Here is a 25,508-nt window from a genome sequence, read left to right as displayed (position 1 = left end):
GCTGGGACTACAGGCATGCACCACAACTGCCAGCTAATTTTTGTATTTTTAGTAGAGACAGGGTTTCACCATGTTGGCCAGGCTGGTCTGGAACTCCTGACCTCAGGTGATCCACCCACCTTAGCCTTCCAAAGTGTTGGGATTACAGGCATGAGCCACTGTGCCTGGCTGGAATATTTTATTTTTTTAATTTACTAGTCTCACTGGATAACTGAGTCTTGACTTATGGAATGGCATAAACTCTTGATGCAGGCATGAAGAATAAAATTAGTTTTTGTAAACTAGAGAATTTGAAACTGCTTAGAGAATAGAGGTAAAAAGGAATTTCCTTCTTTGGGTAAGAGTGGATCCAAACCATATATTCTCTGGCTATTAGCGTCTCCAGAGGTGTGTGGTCATTTTTTGTTATGGTGATTCCCAAAGATTTGCAGTGTTGGCAAGTACCCAAAATTTATCTCAGCTGGTCATAAACCTTAGTGCCTTTTGATGGTTTTGTTTTATAGAGTTACTTATTAAAGTTCTATGTAAATCATTACTGTTATCCTTTTAAGTTTCTGTATTTAACTATTACCATTTTTTATTTTATAGTCATTACATATTGGATATTATGTAGAATGTAGTTATGTATAGAGTGTTTTATCTAATTATTTGTTGCTGCCCTTTTCTGAGAGTTATTTAATACAGTTTGAGATGGAATTTAGCATTTTTGGGCCTTCCCTCACTGTTTGTAAATAATTGATTTTGTAAAAAGAAAGTAATGTCAGACAGATACTTGAGGGCAATGCAGGCTAGACAGAATGTAGTATTTAAAGTGGAGAAAATTTCAACCTTTTATGTAGTTTGAATAGAAATTTAAAAAACCACTTAAGACATTCTTTTGTAAGATGTATTACTCGTGTCATCATAGAAAACTTAAGCCTTTTGTGTGTGTTTTTTGTTTGCATTAAAATAAACACAGTAGCAAATTGCTTCAGGAGTTGAGACAGGAGGGAGCTTGCTGTCTTGGCCTTCTTTGTGCTTCTCTGAGCTATGAGGCTGAGAAGATCTTCAAGTGGAGTTTTAGCAAATTTAGCTCATCTGCAAAAGATGAAGTTAAAGTCCTCTACTTATGTGCCACCTACAAAGCACTAGAGACTGTAGGAGAAAAGAAAGCCTTTTCATCTGTAATGCAGGTAAGAATGAAGGGGGAAAATGCATGATGTACTTGGGAAGAAAATTGTCCCTTAACACATGTCCTTGGAGGGGAGCTTGAAGAAGGGAAACATAGAATAGGGGTTATCTACTGATAGGAAATATGTTTTAAAAATTCCTCTTTCTCAGTTTGAGTAAAGGATACACTGTTCAAGGATCAGTGCTACATACATATATGCATATATGTGGAGAAAGAGGGAGAGATTTCTTCTAAGAAATTGGCTTACACGCCGGGTGCGGTGGCTCACGCCTGTAATCCCAGCACTTTGGGAGGCCGAGGCAGGCGGATCATGAGGTCAGGAGATCGAGACCATCCTGGCTAACATAGTGAAACCCCATATCTACTAAAAATACAAAAAAAATTAGCCGGGCGTGGTGGTGGGCACCTGTAGTCTCAACTAATTGGGAGACTGAGGCAGGAGAATGCCGTGAACCTGGGAGGCGGAGCTTGCAGTGAGTCGAGATCGCGCCACTGCACTCCAGCCTGGGCAACAGAGTGAGACTCTGTCTCAAAAAAAAAAAAGAAAAAAAAAAGATACACGTTGAAGTTAGATTTGAAATAAGTTAGTTTTAAGATTTTTTTCCTCAGCCAAGCGCGGTGGCCTATATGCCTGTAATCCCAGCACTTTGGGAGGCCGAGGTGGGAACATCATGAGGTCAAGGGATCGAAACCATCCCGGCCAACATGGTGAAACCCCGTCTCTACTAACAATACAAAAATTAGCCAGGCATGGTGGCACGTGCCTGTAGTCCCAGCTACTCAGGAGGCTGAGGCAGGAGAATCGCTTGAACCCGGGAGGCCGAGGTTGCAGTGAGCCGAGATCACACCATTGCCTGGGCAACAGAGCCAGACTCTGTCTCAAAAAAAAAAAAAAAAAAAAAAAAAGGATTTTTTTCCTCTTTGGTTTTTAGAAATGTTTTTTTGAGATTGCTTAGGACCAGAATGATTTGCAAATTTGAAAATAGGAACTCCACTAGGAATGCTGGATAGAAGAGTGCTTCACATTTGTAGAGGGAGACAAGAACTAAATATCACAACTTCTTTCTGAGCCTTTTGGTTTGCTAACGTGCCCCAAATTCTTATTCCAAATGGTATAAGATAATTATGTGTAAATGAATACCAGCTCTACTTAGTTTTATTTCACATTTGTGTATCTGAATATATTAAAACATCATTCCTTTTTTTTTTTTTTTTTTTTTTTTGATGCAGAGTCTTGCTCTGTTGTCCAGCCTGGAGTGCAGTGGCATGATCTCGGCTCACTGCAACTTCTGCCTCCCAGGTTCAAGCGATTCTCCTGCCTCAGCCTCCCGAGTAGCTGGTATTACAGGAGTGTGCCATTAGCCTGGCTAATTTTTGTATTTTTAGTAGAGATGGGGTTTCATTGTGTTGGCCATGCTGGTCTTGAACTCCTGACCTCAAGTGATCCTCCTGCCTCGGCCTCCCAAAGTACTGTGATTAGTGTCATGAGCCACCACACCTGGCCTAAAAGATCATTGATTTAGTTTTGAGTAAGATTTTAAGTGATTAAATTATGGTATTGTTGTGTTTGGAATATCTGATATTAGGGTTTTTTTTTAATATAGTTTTTGATATGCTTTATTTTGGGTATGTAGTTTAAAAAATATAAAGGAAATATAAGGAATGTTCTTTTTTTTTTTTTAAATAAAAAATGTATTTTTAACTGGGCATGGTGGCTCACTCCTGTAACCCCAGCACTGTGGGAGGCTGAGGCCGGTGAATTGCCTGAGTCCAGGAGTTTGAGACCAGCCTGGGCAACATGGTGAAACCCTGTTTCTATCAAAAAAAGGAAAAAAAATAAGTCGGGCATGGTGGCATGCATCTGTAATCCCAGCTACTTGGAGGCTGAGGCAGGAGGATCGCTTGTGCCTGGGAGGTTGAAGCTACAGTGAGCTATGGTCAAGCTACTGCACTCCATTATAGGCAACCCTGTCTCAAAAAAGCAAAACAAAACGAAACATTTTCCCCCTTGATTATAGAGGTTTGAGAAAAATTTGAGGGAGGATTCAGAAAATTACCTGTAACTGAACAGAATGCCACCAGCTTGGGCTTATTCTGCATGCATAATTATGAACATTTTCCCATCTCTTGTGAAAATTCTCACATTCATAGAAAGATAGATGCACCAGTAAAATAAATACCTGTAAATAACGATAATAATTTCATAATATATGCTTCACCTAGATTTACCAGTTACTAATATTTTGCTACAGTTTTATTTTCTCACACACTTTTGTTGAGCATCTGAAAACCATATACATGATGACAGTTCACCCCATAATGTTTTAGTATGCATCTCCCAAGAATAAGGTTTTTCTTCTGTATAACAAGAATATTGTAATCATACCTAAGAAAATGAATTTTATTACATATGTGTTCTATATTCAAATTTCTGTAATTACCCTTAAGATGTCTTTTAAATGATTTTTAGCATTGATAGTCTGTGCCTGTGTAGATTATAACATTGGCTATTGCAAAATAATGGTTTTCTTTTTCTCTCTTTTTTTTTTTTTGAGATGTAATCTTGCTCTATTGTCCAAGCTGGAGGGCAGTGGTGCGATCTCGGCTCACTGCAACCTCCGCCTCCCAGGTTCAAGCAGTTCTCTTGCTTCAGCCTCCTGAGTAGCTGGGATTACAGGCATGTGCCACTGTGCTCTGCTAATTTTTATATTTTTAGTAGAGATGGAGTTCATCATGCTGGCCAAGCTGGTCTTGAACTCCTGACCTCAGGTGATCCACCTGCCTCGTCCTCCCAAAGTGCTGGGGTTACAGGTGTGAGCCACTGCACCCAGCGTAAAATGATGGTTTTCTGATTCTAGCATTTCTTTTATAAGATTGCTATGTAAAGCGCAGCTTTTCCTTTTTTAGGGAAAAATGTTTTTTAACAGCTGCAAAATAAATATTCTTTCAATGGAATGACAAATAGTTATTTATTATTTTATTTTTGCCATATATTTATTTTAAAAATTTATGTATAATGGTAACCTGAGCCTGCATGTTATTCATGTGTGGTGCCATACTGATCTTCTTTAATTTTAATATGAAGCAAGTACTAATATACTAAAGCATAAATTATATAAAATTTGCTTTATATTTTGGATTGCAAAGTAATTGTTGTACTTTATAGAAAAGTTTCCCAAATCCATTTTACTTTTTTGTATTTGAAATTTAATCACAGGTAGAATCTTAAAGAGAGCATTTAGAGATATTGTAAACAGATGTTATTAAGGACTAATGTTAACTGATGTCAAAGGACTAATATTAACAAACATTGAAGAGGAGAAAGCAGTATTTGTTTTTAGCTTAACATCTTAGTGGAGCGAAATATTTTCAATTTATTTATTTATTTATTAATTATTATTTTTTTTGAGATGGAGTCTGGCTGTATTGTCCAGGCTGGAGTGCAGCGGTGCAGTCTCAGCTCACTGCAACCTCTGCCTCCTGGGTTCAAGCGATTCTTGTGTCTCAGCCTCCCAAGCAGTTGGGATTTACAAGTGAATTTTTTTTTTTTTTTAACTAAAACTACAGAATCTATTTTTCTTGGTCTCATACTCAGTTTTTTATGTAGTCAGTAAATAATGAACCTAATTTGCTTGTTTTCTCCCTATTTTGTTGAATGTTCACGGTTTGTAACTTTTATTTTTAAGCTTGTAATGACCAGCCTGCAGTCAATTCTTGAAAATGTGGATACACCAGAATTGCTTTGCAAATGTGTTAAGTGCATTCTTTTGGTGGCTCGATGTTACCCTCATATTTTCAGCGCTAATTTTAGGGTGAGTTCCTCATTCCGTTGTTCAGATCATGGGGTGAGGGGGATGGTTGTGTGTGTGAGGAACTGAGGAATCAGATGGAAAACAATGCCTCTGCTCCTTTGAATATAATCAGTGATATTTGAGGTTCCAGGGTTAAATGCCGCATTTTTCTTTCTGACGTTCGTACCTTAAAATATTTGAAGAAAATAAACTATTTCATTGTTGTCAGAAATGTAGTTCTTTTATTTTCCTGCCCCTCTCCCCTTTCTAAGTTTCTAGAATGTCAAGTAGGTAGAACATAGATGCTCCTTTTAGGATCTTTTGCTGTGAAATGGTCCACAGGTGAATGGCAGTAATATCTTAAAATGATTGGCCCCCTCTCTCTTTGTTTCCATCAAGGATACAGTTGATATATTAGTTGGATGGCATAGAGATCATACTCAGAAACCTTCGCTCACGCAGCAGGTATCTGGTAAGTCTTGCAGCCTATACCAGTTATTTAAATACTGTCGGGGAGGAGCAGTGGTCCCCCAGTGACCATCTATCAATACCATTTCTTTAATAATGCAAGAAAACTAATTCGGAGAAATGTTTTATTGTAAATGAACATGACTTGTTAGCTAAATATATATTTTCAGAGGAAATTACTAGTAGGTGGGTAGAGTAAGTACAGACAGGACTTACCCAAGTTATTTGTAGTTTGTACTGGTAGGAAAGTATATGGTAAGAATATATTGCAGTGGCAATACCCTGAAGTGGACAATGGAAGATCCAAGTTATTTGTCACATTTTATTGTTTTTCTGGTTATTTTTTTAAAAAAGGAAATATAGGGTTAATTTGGAGAATTGTCATAAATGAGAAATGGTTTTGTTTCCCATTTTTTTGGATTTAAGTGAATGACTAGCGTGGCTCATTTGCACATTTCAGCTTGTTTCAAGTGTCATAGTTTCTCGTAACTTACTTGGTGTAATAAACTTTTGAAAATAGGATATTCAGGTGATAGTGGTCTGTTTCATTTTCACTGAGGAGATGAGTATACACCTTTAATGGTTAGATGTGGCCCTGGGATTAGCCAGGCCAATGGTAGATTGTGGCATTTTAGTCTTAAGTCATGTGTAGTGACAATATAGATATGAAATTTACTGAAAAAGTAAGGAAATAACATTTACATGTTAATTTCTGCAGAAATTAAAGAGGTATTAAAGAGGTATTGGTTAATCGTGATCAGCATGTTTAGCAGTCTTAATTTTATGATATAGGACATGTTTTAGGGTATGCTGCTTGAAAACCAGATACTTTTTAAAACGAGCCTCTTATATTTTTTTAATTTGGATTTTTTGGTGTTTTTTCTCCCCCCTACCCTTTCACAATTTCTTATACGATTCCAAGGGTGGTTGCAGAGTTTGGAGCCATTTTGGGTAGCTGATCTTGCATTTCCTACGACTCTTCTTGGTCAGTTTCTAGAAGACATGGAAGCATATGCTGAGGTGAGTATATAGAAAGCTGTTTCTTAAAATTTTGGTTAAGAAAAAATCTTAAATTGTGCTAGATTTATTTTAAAATGGCTCAGACCTCCTGACATTTAAGCAGAAATTACAAGCCCATTGCAATATTTTGAAAAAAAATTTTTTTTTGAGACGGAGTCTCGCTCTGTCACTCAGGCTGGAGTGCAATGGCACGATCTCAGCTCACTGCAACCTCCACCTCCTGGGTTCAAATGATTCTCCTGCCTCAGCCTCCTGAGTAGCTGGAATTACAGGTGCCCGCCACTACGCCCAGCTAATTTTTGTATTTTTAGTAGAGACGGGGTTTCACCGTGTTGGCCAGGCTGGTCTCAAACTCCTGACCACTGGTGATCCACCCACATCGGCCTCCCAAAGTGCTGGGATTATAGGCATGAGCCCCCGTGCCCAGTCAGTATTTTAAACATTTATTTCAGATGTGTTTAAATTACCAGGAGAATTACTGGAGAGACTAAAAGAAACGTTGCAAGCTTCGTATTTCGCAAAGCTTTACATACTCTTGGTAGCTGGTATTTTTCTAAAGACATTTTTTGTTATTTATTTTTATTTTTTGTCCCCAGTCTTCAGAGTCTTAAAGCAAATTGATGTTGTGTTATAAAAAAACACAAAACACCAAAAGCTCCTAAAGATTTTCCTCTTACATATGTACAGGAGAACTTGAATCGTACTTTGGAGGACAAGCCTTGGCTTCAGCCAGCTTTTGTGGCTGTACGAATATAGCATAGGAGCTTTAAGAGCGCTGCTGAAGCCTCTGTTACTGGTACTTGGCTTTTCTGGCCCCACTGTCATGGCTTAACTCTGTGCCATCTCTTATCTGAATCTCTTTGTGTTTCTCCCCTATTCAGATCAACCAATCAAGGCTCCCATAAAGATTTTGGCCTCATCTTGTTTTTTTCATCTTTGCTGCTTGTAGTCAACAGGAATTCAGTACCTTTAGCTGTACTGATGTGTTTACTCTTTCCTAGAAAAGCAAGGAAATGTTTTGCTTCTGCGTTGTTTTTTCTTTGCCCCCACACCTAGAATGTCTTTTTTCACAGCCCACGTTTAAAGCTGATCTACCTCTCATAAGCCACACATTCTAGTTTGTAGAGATGTTTCCCCTTGTTATCCTTAAGATCTCATTCTCTTCTGTTATTTTGGTGCTTAATTTTAGGTAGATGTATACATTGGTTCTAGTATCCTAGTTTTTGCGAATCTTGTCCTTTTCATATATCGTACTTCTTCAGTTACACATCTGTAGACCAGGTCTTGTAATCTCCCTTTGCTCTTCATGTGCATGCTCTTGGTTTGGAGGACTTACTGTTGAGCTGAGTGGCTCAAAGAATACCTAGAATGAGATTTTTAGCCAAAAACTAATTCAGGAGTGGCAAAAGCTTCCGTCTTCATTTATACCTACATATAACTAGAGCATATGTGCTAGAATTTATTTTTCCCCGACAGCTTTCTGAGTTGATTTAAGAGATTATTTCCTTAATTTGTTGTCTATTGGGTTTAATGTTGGCTTTTTGAAATAATTAGGTAAAACCCATTTTTATATTCAGAGTCATGAATATTCTCATGGGCCACAGTTCTCTTTCTAAAAGCCTAAAAATCTATTCTAAAATGAATTGATTGAAATATTTTAGAGTTTTTTGTTTTTTTTTAAACAATGTACTACTTATTAAGAATGCTGTGAATTCACATCTAGGACCTCAGCCATGTGGCCTCTGGGGAATCAGTGGATGAAGACGTCCCTCCTCCATCAGTGTCATCACCAAAGCTGGCTGCGCTTCTCCGGGTATTTAGTACTGTGCTGAGGAGCATTGGGGAACGCTTCAGCCCAATTCGGGTCCTCCAATTACTGAGGCATACGTAACAGTTGTAAGTGCTTTTGGGCATTTGAAGTGTCATTCAAAAATAAAATTGTTTTACATTGTAAATGATTCTCTTTACCAGGTGAACTGTTATTAATCCTTCATTTGTTTAGCATGTGTGTATGTATGTATATATGTATATATTGTCTGACTGCTTTCTTAACCAGAAAAGCAGGGAATCCTGTTATATCTCATCCTCCTTTCATCCAACTCCCCTACCCTCCCATGACAAAAGGCCACTCTGAATTTTTAAATCTTATTCTTTCATTTTTAAATAATATTTCTTATAATTTTACTTTTAAATTATTGGGTTTCCTTTTAGTTTTTCAACATATTACGAATAGCACACTATAGGAGAAGCCTCAGAAAGTAACCTTCTCTGAGCATAAGATGGAACTCATATGAAAACTTGTATATCTTTATATTCTTTGATAGCCTGATATCAAAGAACATAAACAAATTAAAAATGAGGTAGCTAGATTGCCACACTTCAGCAGCCTCAAACATTAGCTGCACTGTATATAGCACATCCAATGAGGGTTCAGTGGAAAAGACACAAGAAATGAACCCCAGGCATTGTACTCTGCTTTGAATAAGGAGAAAGAAGCATGTGTGATACAGTCATAAAAAAATTAATCTAACTGATGAAAATTTTACTGTTAGGATAAAACTCGCTTTTAGGAGCATATACTTTTGCTGAACATGTTGCTAAATAAAATAGGATATTGATTATATAGTAAGTTGTGTACTTGAGCAGAAATGTCAGAACTTAAAGATAAATGAAACCAGCATATTGGTATTTTAAACCAATATGGTTTCAAAATGGTTTAATATCTTTGCTTCATTTTTAATGTCTAAAAGGTGGTTGAAGACTGTACAGAGTTGAAATAAAAAGCCGTTAATTCAGACATAAAATAAAAGGGACATAATTTATAGGATAGGTGTATATTGATTTATGAGGATCTTTTAGGCCTTTGAGAATGGTAGAATGGTGGGGTTTTTATTTTTTTTATTTATTTTTGGAGCTGGAGCCTCACTCTGTCACCCAGGCTGGAGTGTAGTAGTGCAATCATAGCTCACTGTAGTCTTGAACTCTTGGGCCCAGGTGAACTTCCCATTCACTCAGCCCTACAAGCGGGTGTCACCATACCCAGCTTTTTTTGTTTTTCTTTTTAAAGTGGGGTGGTGCCATCACGACTCAGTGCAGCCTCTGTATCTTGGGCTCAAGTGATCCTCCCACCATAGTTCCTGCTAATTTTTTATTTTTGTAGAGATGGGGTCTCAGTGTTTCCCAGGCTGGTCTTGAACTTTTGGCCTCAAGCAGTCTTCCCACCTCAGCCTCCCAAAGTGTTGGGATTATAGACATGAGCCACTGTGCATGCATGGCCAAGAATGGTTCCCCCTCCGCCCTCTCTCCCCCACTCTTTTTTTTTTGGAGACATGGTCTCTGTTGCCCAGGCTGGAGTGCAGTGGCACGATCTTGGCTCACTGCAGCCTTGACCTCCCAGGCTTAAGTGATCCTCCCACCTCAGCCTCAAGTAGTTGGTGGGACTACTGGTGTGAGCCACCACGCCCAACTAATTTAAAAACAAATTTGGTAGAGATGAGGTGTTGTTATGTTGACATGGCTGGTCTCAAACTCCTGGACTCAAGAGAACCTTCCAGCTAATCCTCTCAAAGTGCTAGGATGATAGATGTGAGTCACTATGCCCAACCTCCAAGGATACTTTTAATGAAAACTATGGGTAGACTAAATAAAATCCTGTATGTATTGGTTGTTAAATATTATAGAAATATTTTTAAACATTTGCTCTGTTTTCTCCCCCATTTTATTAGAAATTTAGTACACAATTATTGGCCATTATAGTTAAGTGGGGGATTTTGTTTGTGTGTGTATTGGAAATAATATGATTTTTGAAGATATTATGTGGTAAGCATGAGAGTGCTTATCTTTCAAAAGAGACCATCAGTAGATAGAAACTTTAATAAGCTTAAAGTGACTTGTATGTTCAGTTTTGAAAGATTGATTCCCAAAAGCCCAAGAGCTAGCTTGTAGTATGTGTGGGCAGGCTATTCCCATGCTGTCAATACCATTACTGTCGTGGTGTATTTCATGATAAAGATTCTGAGCTTCAGCCATTTAGTGACATTGGGAGAAACGAAGTTGGGTATATGGGAAATAGAGGATGGCAGGTTCCATTTCCTGTCATAGTAGCACTTTAGGATTTTTTAGCCAAGATCATGTTTACATATTGTAGTAAAGGGATCATTATTATTCAGCTACTGAGAACTAGAATATTAAGAGACTGCTGGCAAGGCAAGCAGTTAATTTTCAGTTGAAATTGCATTAAATAAAAAGTATTTTCTTGCTTTGTGGAAGCACGTGAATTTTTGTAAAAAGCTGCTTGTTTTCCCCATTTACAGGTTCTGTACAGAGTAATGAGATGTGTGACGGCTGCAAACCAGGTGTTTTTTTCTGAGGCTGTGTTGACAGCTGCTAATGAGTGTGTTGGTGTTTTGCTCGGCAGCTTGGATCCTAGCATGACTATACATTGTGACATGGTCATTACATATGGATTAGACCAACTGGAGAATTGCCAGACTTGTGGTACCAATTATATCATCTCAGTCTTGAATTTACTCACGCTGGTATGTGAATTATTCTTTTCCTTTTTAATGTGTTGGTTTATTCAGGCCCTTAAATCGATATGTAAGAAATTAAGGACTTTGTCTGGGTATGGTGGCTCATGCTTGTAATCCCAGCACTTTGGGAGGCCAAAGCAGAAGGATTGCTTGCATCCAGGAATTCTGGCACAGCTTGGGCAATGTAGTGAGACCCCATCTGTACAAAAAGTCAAAAATTAGCTTGGTGTAGTGGTGTGCACCTGCAGTCCTAGCTACTCGGGAGGCTGAGGGAGGAAGATCGATTAAGCCCAGGAACTTGAGGTTGAAGTGAGCTCTGATTGTGCCACTGCACTCAGCCAAGGTGACAAAAAAGGCCCTGTCTCCAAAAAAGAAAAAAAATAAGGGCTTTGCTTTATTATATTATTTTTTAGAGTACATTCATCAGTCTTATAATCTATGCTTTCATTTTAGTGTCTATTTACTTTTATTTTTAATGCAATTTTTTTTTGAGACAGGGTCTCACTCTGTTGCACAGGATGAAGTGCAGTGGCATGATTTTGGCTCACTGTAGCCTTGACCTCTTGGGTTCAGGTGACCCTCCCACCTCAGCCCCCCAGGTAGCTAGGACTACAGGCGTGCACCACCACACCTGGCTAATTTTTTATATTATTTTGTAGAGATGGAGTTTTGCCATGTTGCCCAGGCTGGTCTTGAATTCTTGGGCTCAAGCAATCCACCTGCCTTGGCCTCCCAAAGTACTGGGATTATAGGCATGAGCCACTCTGCCAGGCCTCTATTTTTAGTGGTTGATAGCTAGTCTCAGTGTAGCTTTACTCGTTTTTTCTGAGGAAACATTGCTCTACGCACCAGATTCTTTCTTTTTTGCTTTTCTTTTCTTTCTTTTTTTCTTTTTTCTTTTTTTTTTTTTTTTTGTCACAGGATCTTGCTGTATTCCCCTGGCTGGAGTGCAGCGGTACAATCAGAGCTCACTGCAGCCTCAAACTCCTGGGCTCAAGTGATTCTCCCACTCAGCCTCCCGACTATCTGGGACTACAGATGCATGCCACCATGCCTGGCTAACCTTTGTAGTTTTTGGAGAGAAGGGGTCTCACTACATTGTCTAGACTGGCCTTAAATTCTTGGTCTCAAGTAATCCTCCTGCCTTGCCCTCCCGAAGTGCTGGGATTACAGGTGTGAGCAATCATGCCTGGCCTCCTTTAATTTCTTTTTTTTTTTTTTTTTTTTTTTTTGAGACGGAGTCTCGCTCTTTTGCCCAGGCTGGAGTGCAGTGGCACAATTGTATTTTTAGTAGAGACGGGGTTTCACCATGTTAGCCAGGATGGTCTCGATCTCCTGACCTCGTGATCTGCCTGCCTTGGCCTCCCAAAGTGCTGGGATTACAGGCGTGAGCCACCACGCCCGGCCGGCCTCCTTTAATTTCTTAACCATAAATATCCTCCCCCCACTTTTATTATGGACATTCTGAAGCACATAAAAATAGGGAGCATAGTATAATAAATTTGTACATATTTAACACTCAGCTTCTATAATTAGAAACAAATGGCCCATCTGGTTTCATCTAGGCCTCTTTGCTATCCTTTCATCTCCAGCTGGATTATTTTAAAGCAAATTCTAGATGACATTCTGCTGAGCATTTCTGCCAGAATTACACCTCTCTTTGCTAATGTGAAAAAATGCCCATGATAACTGTAAAATACGTGTGTCCTATTTAGGTGTCTAAACACTTTAATGTCACAGTATTAAGGCCTTAAAATATAGCTTAGATATATTTTTCTAAATTAAAAGACTTTATTTTTTAGATATACAGAAAATTGAGCAGAAAACAATGAGTTCCCATATACCTTCTTCATCCCAACAGTTTCCCCCTCATTAACATATTGTGTTAGTGTGGTACATTTATTACAAAGGAGTGAATATTGATATATTATTATTAACTAATTTTATAGTTTACTTTGTGTTATGTATTCTATGGACTTTAACATGTGTAATGACATGTATCCCCTATTACCAGTATCATACAGGATAGTTTCACTTCCCTAAAAATCTTTGATGTTCTACCCACTCCTTCCTCGTTCCCTCTCCTCACTCCTCCCTCCCTCCATCTTAAGCCCATGGCAACCCCTGATCTTTTTACTGTCTCCATCGTTTTGCCTTTTCCAGAATGCCATGTAGTTGGAGTCATATAGTATGTAGCCTTTTCAATTGACTTCTTTCACTTACCAGTGTGCATTTAAGGTTTCTCCATGTCTTTTTGTAATTTGAGAAGCTCATTTTTTAAAAATTTTATTCTTTTAGATTGTTGAACAGATAAATACGAAACTGCCATCATCATTTGTAGAAAAACTGTTTATACCATCATCTAAACTACTATTCTTGCGTTATCATAAAGAAAAAGAGGTAAGTAATACACTGATAATGAATTTTGACAACTTGAGTCACTGAAGAGTTGGACCTAATGTTGCTTACCAGGCTATATAAGTGAAATTGAGTGAAATGTGAAATGTTTGATTTAGAATATAGTGATTGTATTTGTTCTTTTAAATTTATATTTCTTGATAATCATACTGAATACTTTCATGAATGATGTGCCAGATACTCTTTTCAGACTATGCATCTCTTGCTGTTATTAAATTTATTAAATTTTCATAAGGGTAAAACAAGTTGACACATTTATAAAGTTATAAATTAAGTACTGTATATTTTGTAAACAAAAATGACTGGCTTTTCAACCACCCCCTAGTCAAATCCACCACAGACTTTCCTGGTAGATTTAAGAAACCCAGTCTTAAATTGCTGTTTGCATATGTCTTTTGATGTTGATTATTTAAAAAAAAACGGCCATTTTGGAAATTTCCTATTGACAGTTTTCATTTATAGTACTCTTTATTTGTGATAAAACTTAATAGATTTGAAATAGCATACTGATCTGTGTCAGTTTTCTGATTGGTTTTTTAAAAATTAAAATATTAAGTGCTACGGACAGTGAATTGATCAATCTTAAATTTATTTGTATCATCAGCACTAATACAGATAGTGATTTATTTTCCATATAATTTTAGAAGATTTATTTTCCATTTATCACTTCCTTGAATTTTTTGTTTTTCAGGTTGTTGCTGTAGCCCATGCTGTTTATCAAGCAATGCTCAGCTTGAAGAATATTCCTGTTTTGGAGACTGCCTATAAGTTAATATTGGGAGAAATGACTTGTGCCCTAAACAACCTCCTGCACAGTCTGCAACTTCCTGAGGCCTGTTCTGAAATAAAACATGAGGCTTTTAAGAATCATGTGTTCAATGTAGACAATGCAAAATTTGTAGTTAAATTTGACCTCAGTGCCCTGACTACAATTGGAAATGCCAAAAACTCGAGTCTTTAATTGTAATGACTTTGTTTTATCCACAGTTAAGCCTTTTCTCATTACATATTTATGTATTTCACTGTCATGTCAACATGTCTGCAGAATCACTGTATGTAACAAACAGCCATATTTAAGACATGCCTGGATAAATAAAATTGGTAGGAATGTTTTCTTGCCATTATATTTAACGTTTCTTCTTTTTCCTTGACAAATCTTGATAAGTTTTTTTATATTAGTTTTATTTTCTAGAAAACGTCTTATGAATTTCTCCCATTTGCTCTAGCATGCTTATAGAAAATGTCAGTGTTTCTTACAGCTCAAATTTGTATAGTTGTTTTAAAATGCGGTCTCTTTCTTCTTCCCCTGGTACTTTTTTCTTTCTGTCTACTGAAGTTAGTTCTTATACATGGTCTTATATTTTGGCTGTCTTTTTTTCCCTAGGAACATTCATACAGGTTGAATATTCCTTATCTGAAATACTTGGGACTGGAAGTGTTTTTGATTTTGGATTTTGGAATACTTTTTTTTTTTTGGAGATAGTGTTTTACTCTTGTTGCCCAGGCTGGAGTGCAATGGCGCAATCTTGGCTCGCTGCAACCTCCGCCTCCCGGGTACAAGCGATTCTCCTGTTTCAGCCTCCCAAGTAGCTCGGATTACAGGCATGCGCCACCACGCCTGGCTAATTTTTTTGTATTTAGTAGAGATGGGTTTTCACCATGTTAGCCAGGCTGGTTGTGAACTCCTGACCTCAGGTGATCCACCTGCCTTGGCCTCCCAAAATGCCGGGATTACAGGTGGGCACCACCATGCCCAGCCGGATTTTGGAATATTTTCATAACACTTTCTGGTGAGCATCCCTAATCTGAAAATCCTAAATCTAAAATGCTCCAAAATTTGAAACTTTTTGAGCACCAGTATGATGCCCCAAGTGGAAAATCCCACACCCGACCTCATGTGATGAGTCCAAACTGTTGTATGCACAAAATTATTTAAAATATTGCATAAAATGACCTTCAGGCTATGAATAGAAGGCGTCTATGAAATATAAGTGAATTTCGTGTTTAGACTTGGGTCGCGTCCCCCACATATCTCATTTTATATATGTGCAAGTATTCTCAAATCCAAACATATACAGAGTCTGAAACACTTCTGGTCCCAAGCATTTTGAATAAGGGATACTCAACCTGTAGTCTTTCTTTTAGGAGGGGGGGAAAAAAAAAGCTTTTTTTTTTTTTTGGAGACAGAGTCATGCTGTTGTCACCTGGGCTGGAGTGCAGTGGTGCAATCTCGGCTCACTGCCACCTCTGCCTCCCGGGTTCCAGCAATTCTCCTGCCTCAGCCTCCCGAGTAGCTGAGATTACAGACACCTGCCACTACGACGGGCTAATTTTTGTATTTTTAGTAGAGACTTGGTTTCACCATGTTGGCCAGGCTGGTCTCAAACTCCTGACCTCAGGTGATCCACCCGCCTCAGCCTCCCAAAGTGCTGGAATTACAGGCACGAGCCACCGCGCCCAGCCCGTGTGTTTTTTTTTTTTAAGTAATTCGACGTGGCCCTGCTCTTGATTTGTATTTATTGTTTATGGTTTGTGTATTTCTTCTTCCTATTGGACCACACAGAGTTGAAAAACATTATTTTTAATAGAAAATAATAGGTGTAGGCTGGGCACGGTTGCTGACACCTGTAAACCCAGCACTCTGGGAGGCCACGTCGGGCTGATCACTTGTGGTCAGGAGTTTGAGACCAGCCTGGCCAACATGGTGAAAGTTCGCCTCTACTAAAAATAGAAAAATTAGCCAGGGGTGGTGGTGCACACCTGTAATCCTAGCTACTTTGGAGGCTGAGGTAGGAGAATTGCTTGAACCCAGGAAGTGGAGGTTGCAGTGAGCTGAGATCACACCACCGCATTCCAGCCTGGGCTACAGAACCAGACTCTGTCTCAAAAGAAAAAAAAAAAAAAGAAAGAAAGAAACAAAGAAAGTAATGGATGTAATTAGGGAATAAAGTTTTTAGGAGGAAAAAGGTAAAATTTGATGTTTGCGCTTCAGTGTGCTCCATGTTGTTTGATTGGATTGCCTTGTATAATTCCATAGCTGCTTCGCTTATTACCAGTTACAGCTTATGTTTGAAGTCACAATAAACTCTTCTTCAAACATGAAAGCTTGATTTTTGAGGAAAATTATTCACATTATTTGCAGATTCAAAGATGTTTATGTCCTGTACTCTAGAAATAAGGAGAAAGTGGGTGGGGCTGGGGCAGTCAGGTGGAATGGAGTGTCTTGGCAGTGTAAAGGAAAAAGATGGATGGAAAAGGTGTATAGTGGCAGGGTGTGCCTTTGTTTCCTTATTGAACAGGGCACCTTGCCATTTGCAGTATATGGAAAATTGAAGAAATACAGTCTACTTCCGCAAAAGGCACATACAAAGGGCTCTGTTTAGACCAGAGATCAGCAAACTATGGTCCGTGGGCCAAATACAGCCCAGCACCTGTTTTTTGTTTGTTATTTTAAGTGTATAATTCACTGATTTTTAGTATATTCACAGAAGTGTACAACCATCGCAACACTAGTGCCTGTTTTTGTAAAGAAAGTTCTCGTTGGGCTGGGCACAGTGGTTCACGCCTGTAATCCCTCGGGAGACCGAGACAGGCAGATCACCCGAGCTCAGGAGTTCAAGACCAGCCTGGCCAACATGGTGAAACCCTATCTCTACTAAAAAAATACAAAAGTTAGCAGGGCGTGGTGATGGGCACCTGTAGTCCCAGCTACTTGGGAGACTGAGGCAGGGAGAATTGCTTGAACCCCGGAGGTAGAGGTTGCAGTGAGCTGAGATCGCCCCATTGCACTCCAGCCTGGGCAACAGAGCGAGAGACTCCGACTCAAGAAAGTTTTCTTGGAACACAGGTACTCTCATTCCTGTGTTTCGTATGTGGCTGGTGTTTTGTTTTGAGAGAGAGAGTCTTAACTTTGTCATCTAGGCTGGAGTGCATTGGTATGATCTCGGGTCACTGCAACCTCTGCCTCCCAGGTTCAAGCGATTCTCCTGCCTCAGCCTCCCGAGTAGCTGGGATTACAAGTGTGCGCCACCATGCCCAGCTAATTTTTGTAATTTTAGTAGAGATGGGGTCCCGCTGTGTTGCCCAGGCTGGTTTCAAACTCCTGGGCTCAAGTGATCTGCCCACCTTAGCCTCCCAAAGTGCTAGGATTACAGGTGTGAGCCACAACACCTGACCTGTGGCTGTTTTCTTACTGTAGTGATAGACAAGGAGTTGCTGCATTGCATAGAGATGCTATATTGCACGCAAAGGCTTTACTGACTTCACAAAAAAGTATTTGTCCAAGGTGTAGTGTACTAGATCCCTTCCAATCTGTAATTTTAATTTAAAAATGTCCAAATAAAAAAAAAAAAGTCCAAATACCCCTGTTTTGAAGGATAAACTCTGTATGCTTGTGCTTATTTTGGAGAAGCCATAAACTTACTTTGTTTTGTACATGATCAGATGTGGGCGCTATCTCCAACTGTCTTTGCACTTCTGAGTAAGAATCTGATGATTGTGCACAGTGACCTGGCTGTTCACTTCCCTGCCATTCAGTATGCTGTGCTCTACACATTGTATTCTCATTGTACCAGGTACTGTATTCACAAATTTTTCTTAAGAACCCCACAAAACATTTTATTTTTTTAATGGATAGATTTTAAAGATGTATGTTGATTTAACTTTGGACTTGCTTGCTTTCTTTGATTAAAGATGAAAAGATAATCTATGCTTTGTCTTTCAGGCATGATCACTTTATCTCTAGTAGCCTCAGTTCTTCCTCTCCTTTGTTTGATGGAGCTGTGATTAGCACTGTAACTACGGCCACAAAGAAACATTTCTCAATTATATTAAATCTTCTGTGAATATTACTTAAGAAAGATAACCTTAACCAGGACACGAGGTAACAGATTTTATATAGTATTAACTATTCCTAACTTTGTTAATTTGCCTTTATAATTTGAGAATAAGAAATGTGAATTACAAAAAATTTTTAAAAATGTGGATTATAGAGGTGAGGTAGAGCAGCTTCTTTACTGTCAAACACCTTATAATTTGGTTTTATTATTTAATCTAGGCTTTCTTATTCTTTCTGAAAAGAAATACATGAAAAACCTCAATCCCCCATCCCCAGTGTTTCATAGAAGAATATATATAGATTTTTAATATTCTATGCTTTTTTTGTTTTTGAGACGGAGTTTTGCTCACTGCAACCTCTGCCTCCCAGGTTCAAGCAATTCTTCTGCCTCAGCCTCCCAAGTAGCCGTGATTACAGGTGCCCGCCACCACACCCAGCTAATTTTTGTATTTTTAGTAGAGATGGTGTTTCACCATGTTGTTGGCCAGGCTGGTCTTGAACTCCTGACCTCAGGTAAGCCACCACGCCCGGCCTCTTTGCTATTATCATGCTGCGTTGGGAGGTTTTCTTAAAAGGCACACAACAATTTTGACAGTAATTTCTATAGTTTCATTTTTTATTTTTATTTTTTATTGTTTGAGATGTTTGAAAAACCAAGAGAAAACCAATGTAAGAAGACTAGGCTTTTAACGTTTTTTTGTTTTTGTTATTGTTTTTAATGTACAGTCAACTGTATATTTTGTGTTTCAGGAAACTGTTAATGACTTGGGCTTTGGAAGTAGCTGTTTTAATGAAGAAGTCCGAAACATATGCACCTTTATTCTGTCTTCCGTCTTTCCATAAATTTTGCAAAGGCCTTTTAGCCAACAGTAAGACTCTGTTTTTTTTTTTCTATTTTGTTTATCAATCCTTAAAAGGGTCTTTGGTAATGGGAGATGGTCATCAATCGAGCTCTTTTCCTGACCTGCAGATGTGTAATCCTCATTTTAATGACAGATACACAGTCTTGATTTTTTTTCATTCTTAGTATTAGAAAAATGTTTTGAAGTGATTGTCACATTTTTAAGCTTACGTGAATGTTTATAGTTTGCATATACTTTTACATTTTCTCTCAGAAAAAGTTTTGTGTGATGACCCATCAGTTACATTACGTGGGTTTTGTTGAATGTGTCATTTTTCCAAACGTGACAGTCAATGAGGATTCTGGACAAGAACAGTGCCTAGTCTAGAGTAGGCACTCACTCTTTGTTGAATGAATGAATGGATTCAGATAATTATGACAAACTGGGATATAATTTCTTTTGGCCAGCTGAAAGTAGCTGTCTTTTAATGTTTAATAGTTCTCGTTGAAGATGTGAATATCTGTCTGCAGGCATGCAGCAGTCTACCTGCTCTGTCCTCTTCCTTGCCAGATGATCTTTTACAGAGGTATGAAATTAAGATCATGTCTTTTGACATTAATCCTAATAACTTTGAAATGTTAACACACCTGCTTTGTCTATTTCGTTCTTTCATAGATGTGTTGATGTTTGCCATGTTCAACTAGTGCACTGTGGAACTCGTATTCGACAAGCATTTGGAAAACTGTTGAAATCAATTCCTTTAGATGTTATCCTAAGGTATAACAGTTGTTTTGGAGCAAAGACATTCTGTGATATTTACAGCCTCTACTGGTTGTCTACTTTAGGAGAAGACAGATCACCTATTAGAGCATTAATGACACATCTTTTATGGCCCTGCTTGTCAGTGATTGAAGTGATGTCAAATAATCAAATTTTGCAGGTCTGCAAGAAAATTAAAAATTTTTAATGAGCTTTATAGGCTCACAATAATTAGTATAGAATAACTCATGTAGTGCCAAAATATGTTTCTTAGTAGCTCAGATATTTGAAAAACTAAACAGTAATCTTTTATTGTTTTTGATCAAGTTGATTTGGGAGCTTTTAAGAGCCTAAACTTGATCCTTTTGTAATACATAAGCATAATGATTGGGTTTTTATGTTCACATGTTTGATATGCCTCCCTCAAATCCTCTTATGATGTCGGCACATGACCCATCTGAAGTGAATAAAAAAAGGATCTAAAGTTGTAATCACATCTCCGTATCCATTTGAAAGTCTCAATTTTTCTATATTTTTACCTCCAGTGAGTTAATAAGTAAATAATCCACTTACAGTATGTGCTAACCTTTTAAGCTAAAATATTTTGCGTAACAACAACTTTATTTTCTGTCTACAGCAATAACAATCACACAGAAATTCAAGAAATTTCTTTAGCATTAAGAAGTCACATGAGTAAAGCACCAAGTAATACATTCCACCCCCAAGATTTCTCTGATGTTATTAGTTTTATTTTGTATGGGAACTCTCATAGAACAGGGTAAGGCATTTCTTTGACTATTTTATCTAGGAAAGATAATTTTAAGATTCCCTTGACTTTACATGCAGTTTTGAAGAGAAAATATGTTTGGGGGTGGCAGAGTATCAAGTAACATTCTTCTCATATGGGTTATTTCAGTTTTCATCAATAGGAAAATTACTTTGAAGATAGCATCTGTAGAAACAAAAATGGGCTTTGAAATTGAGTCATGAAATGTGGTTAACAGTTAACTGATGTGATGTCATTAACACTTTGGGGAATGGGGTGGGGGTGGAGATATTCTAGAGATGCTTAGTTGCATTGAATGAGTTTCATTCCTGACCGGCATGAGCCGTTTACCCTAATCATCCTTCCACGCTGTACCTCATCCTGTTAACTATAAAAGACCTCAAAATAAGAGGGGGGGGACATAATGCTTCTCAATTTCATAGGTTTTGCCTTTTTTTGGAGTAGGGAAAATTACAGTTCCTTATTCCCATTCCCCTTGCATTTTTTTTTCATTATTAAAATGAAGTTGTCATTGTCTTTTAAATATGAAACTACTTTTCCCAGGAAGGACAATTGGTTGGAAAGACTGTTCTATAGCTGCCAGAGACTGGATAAGCATGACCAGTCAACAATTCCACGCAATCTCCTGAAGACAGATGCTATCCTTTGGCAGTGGGCCGTATGGGAAGCTGCACAATTCACTGTTCTTTCTAAGCTGAGAACCCCACTGGGCAGAGCTCAAGACACCTTCCAGACAATTGAAGGTAACTCGCTCAAGCTTTGTGATGTGAATACTTTCAAAGCCTTATTAAGAAATAATGGATTTTTAAATCTTTGTTAAAGATTTGAGAGTATATGATTTTTTTGAAAAGAAGTCAGTAATTTTCAGGTATGTTTGTTAGAATAAGCTTTCATTGAATAATTGCATTGGAAATATGTTTGTTTTTTTCCCAAAACTTATGGGAGTTGTGTGGAAAAAATATATATTTTTTTCCCCTAAAATGAAAGATCTTTCATGTTGGGATTTTTTATTTTTAAATGATGGGTAGACAGAGGATACTTGATAAATGTGAATTGATCATAAAAAACTCACACTTATTCTAGGAACTTTTAAGATTTTTAAAAATTCAGAATGTTGTCTTTGCTTTCAGGTATCATTCGAAGTCTCGCAGCTCACACATTAAACCCTGATCAGGATGTTAGTCAGTGGACAACTGCAGACAGTGATGAAGGCCATGGTAACAACCAACTTAGACTTGTTCTTCTTCTGCAGTATCTGGAATATCTGGAGAAATTAATGTATAATGCATACGAGGGATGTGCTAATGCATTAACTTCACCTCCCAAGGTTGGTTTCCATGAGATAGTGTTGTTTTATAGCAGTTTAATGGTCACAGCTGGCAGTATGTGCAGAGCTGAAATCACAATAGACTTGTGTATTTGGTTTATATATAGGTGAGACATCCTTACCTACAAATTGAACCAGTCCTGAGCTTTTCTTTCTCTTATCGTAAAGGTCATTAGAACTTTTTTCTATACCAATCGCCAAACTTGTCAGGACTGGCTAACGCGGATTCGACTCTCCATCATGAGGGTAGGATTGTTGGCAGGCCAGCCTGCAGTGACAGTGAGACATGGCTTTGACTTGCTTACAGAGATGAAAACAACCAGCCTATCTCAGGTAAAGTGGTGTGTTTGAAATTCATTTTAAGTCTGTTAATAAGAAAAACATGGTTTAATTCCTTTGGTATGATTTAATCTATGGATAAAATAAGTTAAAGCTTGGATTCATTTTCAAAGGTTTTTATCCTGTATTTTGTAAAAGCAACAACTGCCAGAGTTACCTATTTTATTCGTGTTAAAACAGTGTTAGAAGTTAAAATAATGTTCATGTTTTTGTTCATGTTAAAACAATATTCATCTTAGAACATGTTAAAACTATATTTCTTATGTGCAAAGTTTAGAACTTTAAAGGTAATTCTGAAAATTTGTTTATGGGGGATATTTTTTATTTATTTATTTATTTTTTTGAGACACAGCACTCTGTCGCCCAGGCTGGAGTGCAGTTGTGTGATCTCAGCTCACTGTAAGCTCCGCCTCTCGGATTCAAGCCTCTTCTTGCCTCAGTCCCTGGGATTACAGGCACCCACCACCATACCCAGCTAAGTTTTGTATTTTTAGTAGAGACAGGGTTTCACCATGTTGGCCAGGCTGGTCTCGAACTCCTGACCACAAGTGATCTGCCCACCTTGGCCTTCCAAAGTGCTGGGATTACAGGCATGAACCACTGCACCTGGCCAGGAGAAATTGTTTTTATAACGTATGACAAATGCTTGAGTAATTCCTGGCTTGAAAGTGGGCTCACAATAAATAACTGGAATCCAAAAATAACAAAATGTTTAGCAATTCAGGTAATGTCAAGCAGTATTCAAACACATGAAGTTAATCATTCTTTAATTCCTGTTTATTTATATTTAATTTTTGCTTTCTTTTTACTCCATGTGTTATTCCTACAGAGGTCACAGGTTAAATGTTTGGGTAACTTCGGGGTCGGGGTACAAACATCCATGTGCTGCTAAGGTTCTGTTAGTCACCCTTTGTGGCTATTTTATATGTAACATTTTAAATAATTCTGAGCTAAATAATGTGAAAATTGTGAAAATAATTGTTAAATACATTTGGCTTTAAGCAGGCACAGACTGTGATCAGTTGTAAATTTTATAGGGATTTATGTTTTAATGGTATTGGGTGACTAACTTTTCTGAATGCGTTTTCAGGGGAATGAATTGGAAGTAACCATTATGATGGTGGTAGAAGCACTATGTGAACTTCATTGTCCTGAAGCTATACAGGGAATTGCTGTCTGGTCATCATCTATTGTTGGAAAAAATCTTCTGTGGATTAACTCAGTGGCTCAACAGGCTGAAGGGAGGTAGGTTGGAGGGAAGGAAATGGGTGATAGAATTACTTTATGTTTAAATTCTTTGTATTACTCACTGACATTGTAGCCAAATCTTAAAACAGCTTTGTTTGCTTTCAGCATTGAAGCTTGCTATAAATCACTTCACCAGGAGGCATCTTCAGTTTGTTCTTTAGTTAGCAGCAATACTTGAGTGCCTTTCTTATTTAAGAATTAGTGGCAAATCACACTGAAAAACAAGACCTGTCAGTTGTTTTATAAATGCTTTTGAACTTGATCCCTAGTTGAGCTCCTTCCCCCTCAGAGTCTGATACAAATTACCCTTTATTGTCAGAGTATTTGCTCATTAGTCCTGTGAACTCTACATTCAGACTCATTGCTTCCTCCAGATAGAGGAGCTTGTACCATAATATTCTGTGTCCATTTATGTTAGTTTAATGAAATCTTGCGAATTTAGGAAAATAAAAGAACTGCTCATTCTTCCATATCTTTGTAGTAACTTCTGTTGTGTGTCCTTTTGTAGTCCCATATTTCCATATCCATATGCTTTGTAATTCTTTTTTCTTTCATGTCGTTTTCTCCATTCTTCACCAAAACAGCAGCATACATAGGCACATGGTTTTATGATCTGTTTTTCCCACTCAATATTTAAAAAAAAAATTTGCCATGTTAGGTAGGCTGGGTTCGGTGTCTTACATCTGTATTCCCAGCACTTTGGGAGGCCGAGGCAGGTGGATCACCTGAGGTCAGGAGTTTGAGACTAGCCTAACATGGTGAAACCCCGTCTCTACTAAAAATACAAAAAATATTAGTGGGGTGTGGTGGCACATGCCTGTAATCCCAGCTACTTGGGAGGCTGAGGCAGGAGAATCGGTTGAACCCGGGAGGCGGAGGTTGCTGTGAGCCCAGGTTGTGCCACTGCCCTCCAGCCTGGGCAACAAAAGCAAAACTCTGTCTCAAAAAAAAAAAAAAAAAAAAAATTGCCATGTTAAGTATTCTACAGTGTTATTTTTAATAAAGATTTGTATTTATGAGTGTACCATAATTTAATATTTCTTACTGTTGGGCATTAAGGTTGTTTCTGATTTTTTTTTTTACTAAATGTACCATAGCACTTAATATCTTTGCTTATATTTCTGATTACTTTCTTGGAATCCATTCTCATAAACTGATTTACTAGAAGAAAGGCTGCCAAACCATAAGTCTTATGATATATTCTATTGCTAAGTTACTCTACAGAAAAGATGGCTGCAATGTATACCCTTAATAATAGAGTACCCCCTTCCCTTCACCTTTGTGGATACTGAGAGTCACTGAGAAACAAGAATGCTGCCACCACCATCAGCGAAAATAGTTATTGTACTTTACATTTCTATATGTATTAATGACTAATAGTAGAAGTTGCCCCATATAGTGACCATTTGTGATTTTTTAAAACATGGATCATGTCTTCATGGCCTCTCAATTTTTCCTGTGTTAATCTGTGAAATTTCATTAAATACTAAGATTGTTGATGCTATCCAATTTCTTGATTTATAATTTGTTTTTAATGTTTAGTGTTGTATTTCAGCATTATGCATCTAGATGCTGTTACTTGTGCATCTTTTCTTGCATTTTATCCTTCTACAAAGCCTTTCCACACACTGACATCAGTTACTTATCAATATTTTCCACTAGTTCTTTTATACTCTTACATTTTTTAAAAAACATTTAACCACTTTTAAATTTAGTTTCATAGTTGTGAGGAAGACATCAAACCTCCCCCCACCATAGTCAACTCACTGTTTTAGCTCAGTTTATTCTTGCACCATTTTTTGTGGGAGGGGGGAAATGAGATATGTGTGTTTAAAATAACAGCCTCCTTTGGGGCTGGGCGCGGTGGCTCACGCCTGAAATCCCAGTACTTGGGGAGACTGAGGTGAGCGGATCGCTTGAGTCCAGGAGTTTGAGACCACCCTGGCCAACAGAGCAAAACCTTGTTTTA

The 25,508-nt window shown here is 38.0% G+C and overlaps 1 non-coding gene and 1 pseudogene across 2 annotated transcripts in view, besides 1 other annotated feature; both read left to right on the top strand.

Moving 5' to 3' along the window:
• SMG1P5 (SMG1 pseudogene 5) overlaps nt 1–14,531 on the top strand; it is a 50,357-nt pseudogene extending 35,826 nt beyond the window's left edge. The window contains exons 6-13 of the transcript NR_002453.5: nt 959–1,172; nt 4,858–4,983; nt 5,362–5,434; nt 6,353–6,450; nt 8,174–8,346; nt 10,764–10,988; nt 13,281–13,382; nt 14,092–14,531. The product of NR_002453.5 is annotated as an SMG1 pseudogene 5 (transcript). The remainder of the gene's footprint in view (nt 1–958; nt 1,173–4,857; nt 4,984–5,361; nt 5,435–6,352; nt 6,451–8,173; nt 8,347–10,763; nt 10,989–13,280; nt 13,383–14,091) is intronic.
• A 5,666-nt stretch (nt 14,532–20,197) lies between these two features.
• LOC124903798 (small nucleolar RNA U13) lies at nt 20,198–20,301 on the top strand. The gene has a single exon (XR_007065243.1). It is a non-coding gene; the product is annotated as a small nucleolar RNA U13 (small nucleolar RNA).
• Nucleotides 22,555–22,680: a silencer, noted in NCBI's record as "fragment chr16:30288190-30288315 (GRCh37/hg19 assembly coordinates)". NCBI's record gives its function as "represses an EF-1alpha promoter that drives an FKBP-Casp9 reporter gene in an ReSE screen in K562 erythroleukemia cells {active_cell/tissue: K562}" and the evidence as "EXISTENCE:reporter gene assay evidence [ECO:0000049][PMID:32094911]".

This window comes from Homo sapiens, chromosome 16 (assembly GCF_000001405.40).
Source record: "Homo sapiens chromosome 16, GRCh38.p14 Primary Assembly".
NCBI lineage: Eukaryota > Metazoa > Chordata > Mammalia > Primates > Hominidae > Homo > Homo sapiens.
Note: the sequence above shows the minus strand (reverse complement) of the source record. Positions and strands in the feature narration are given on the sequence as shown.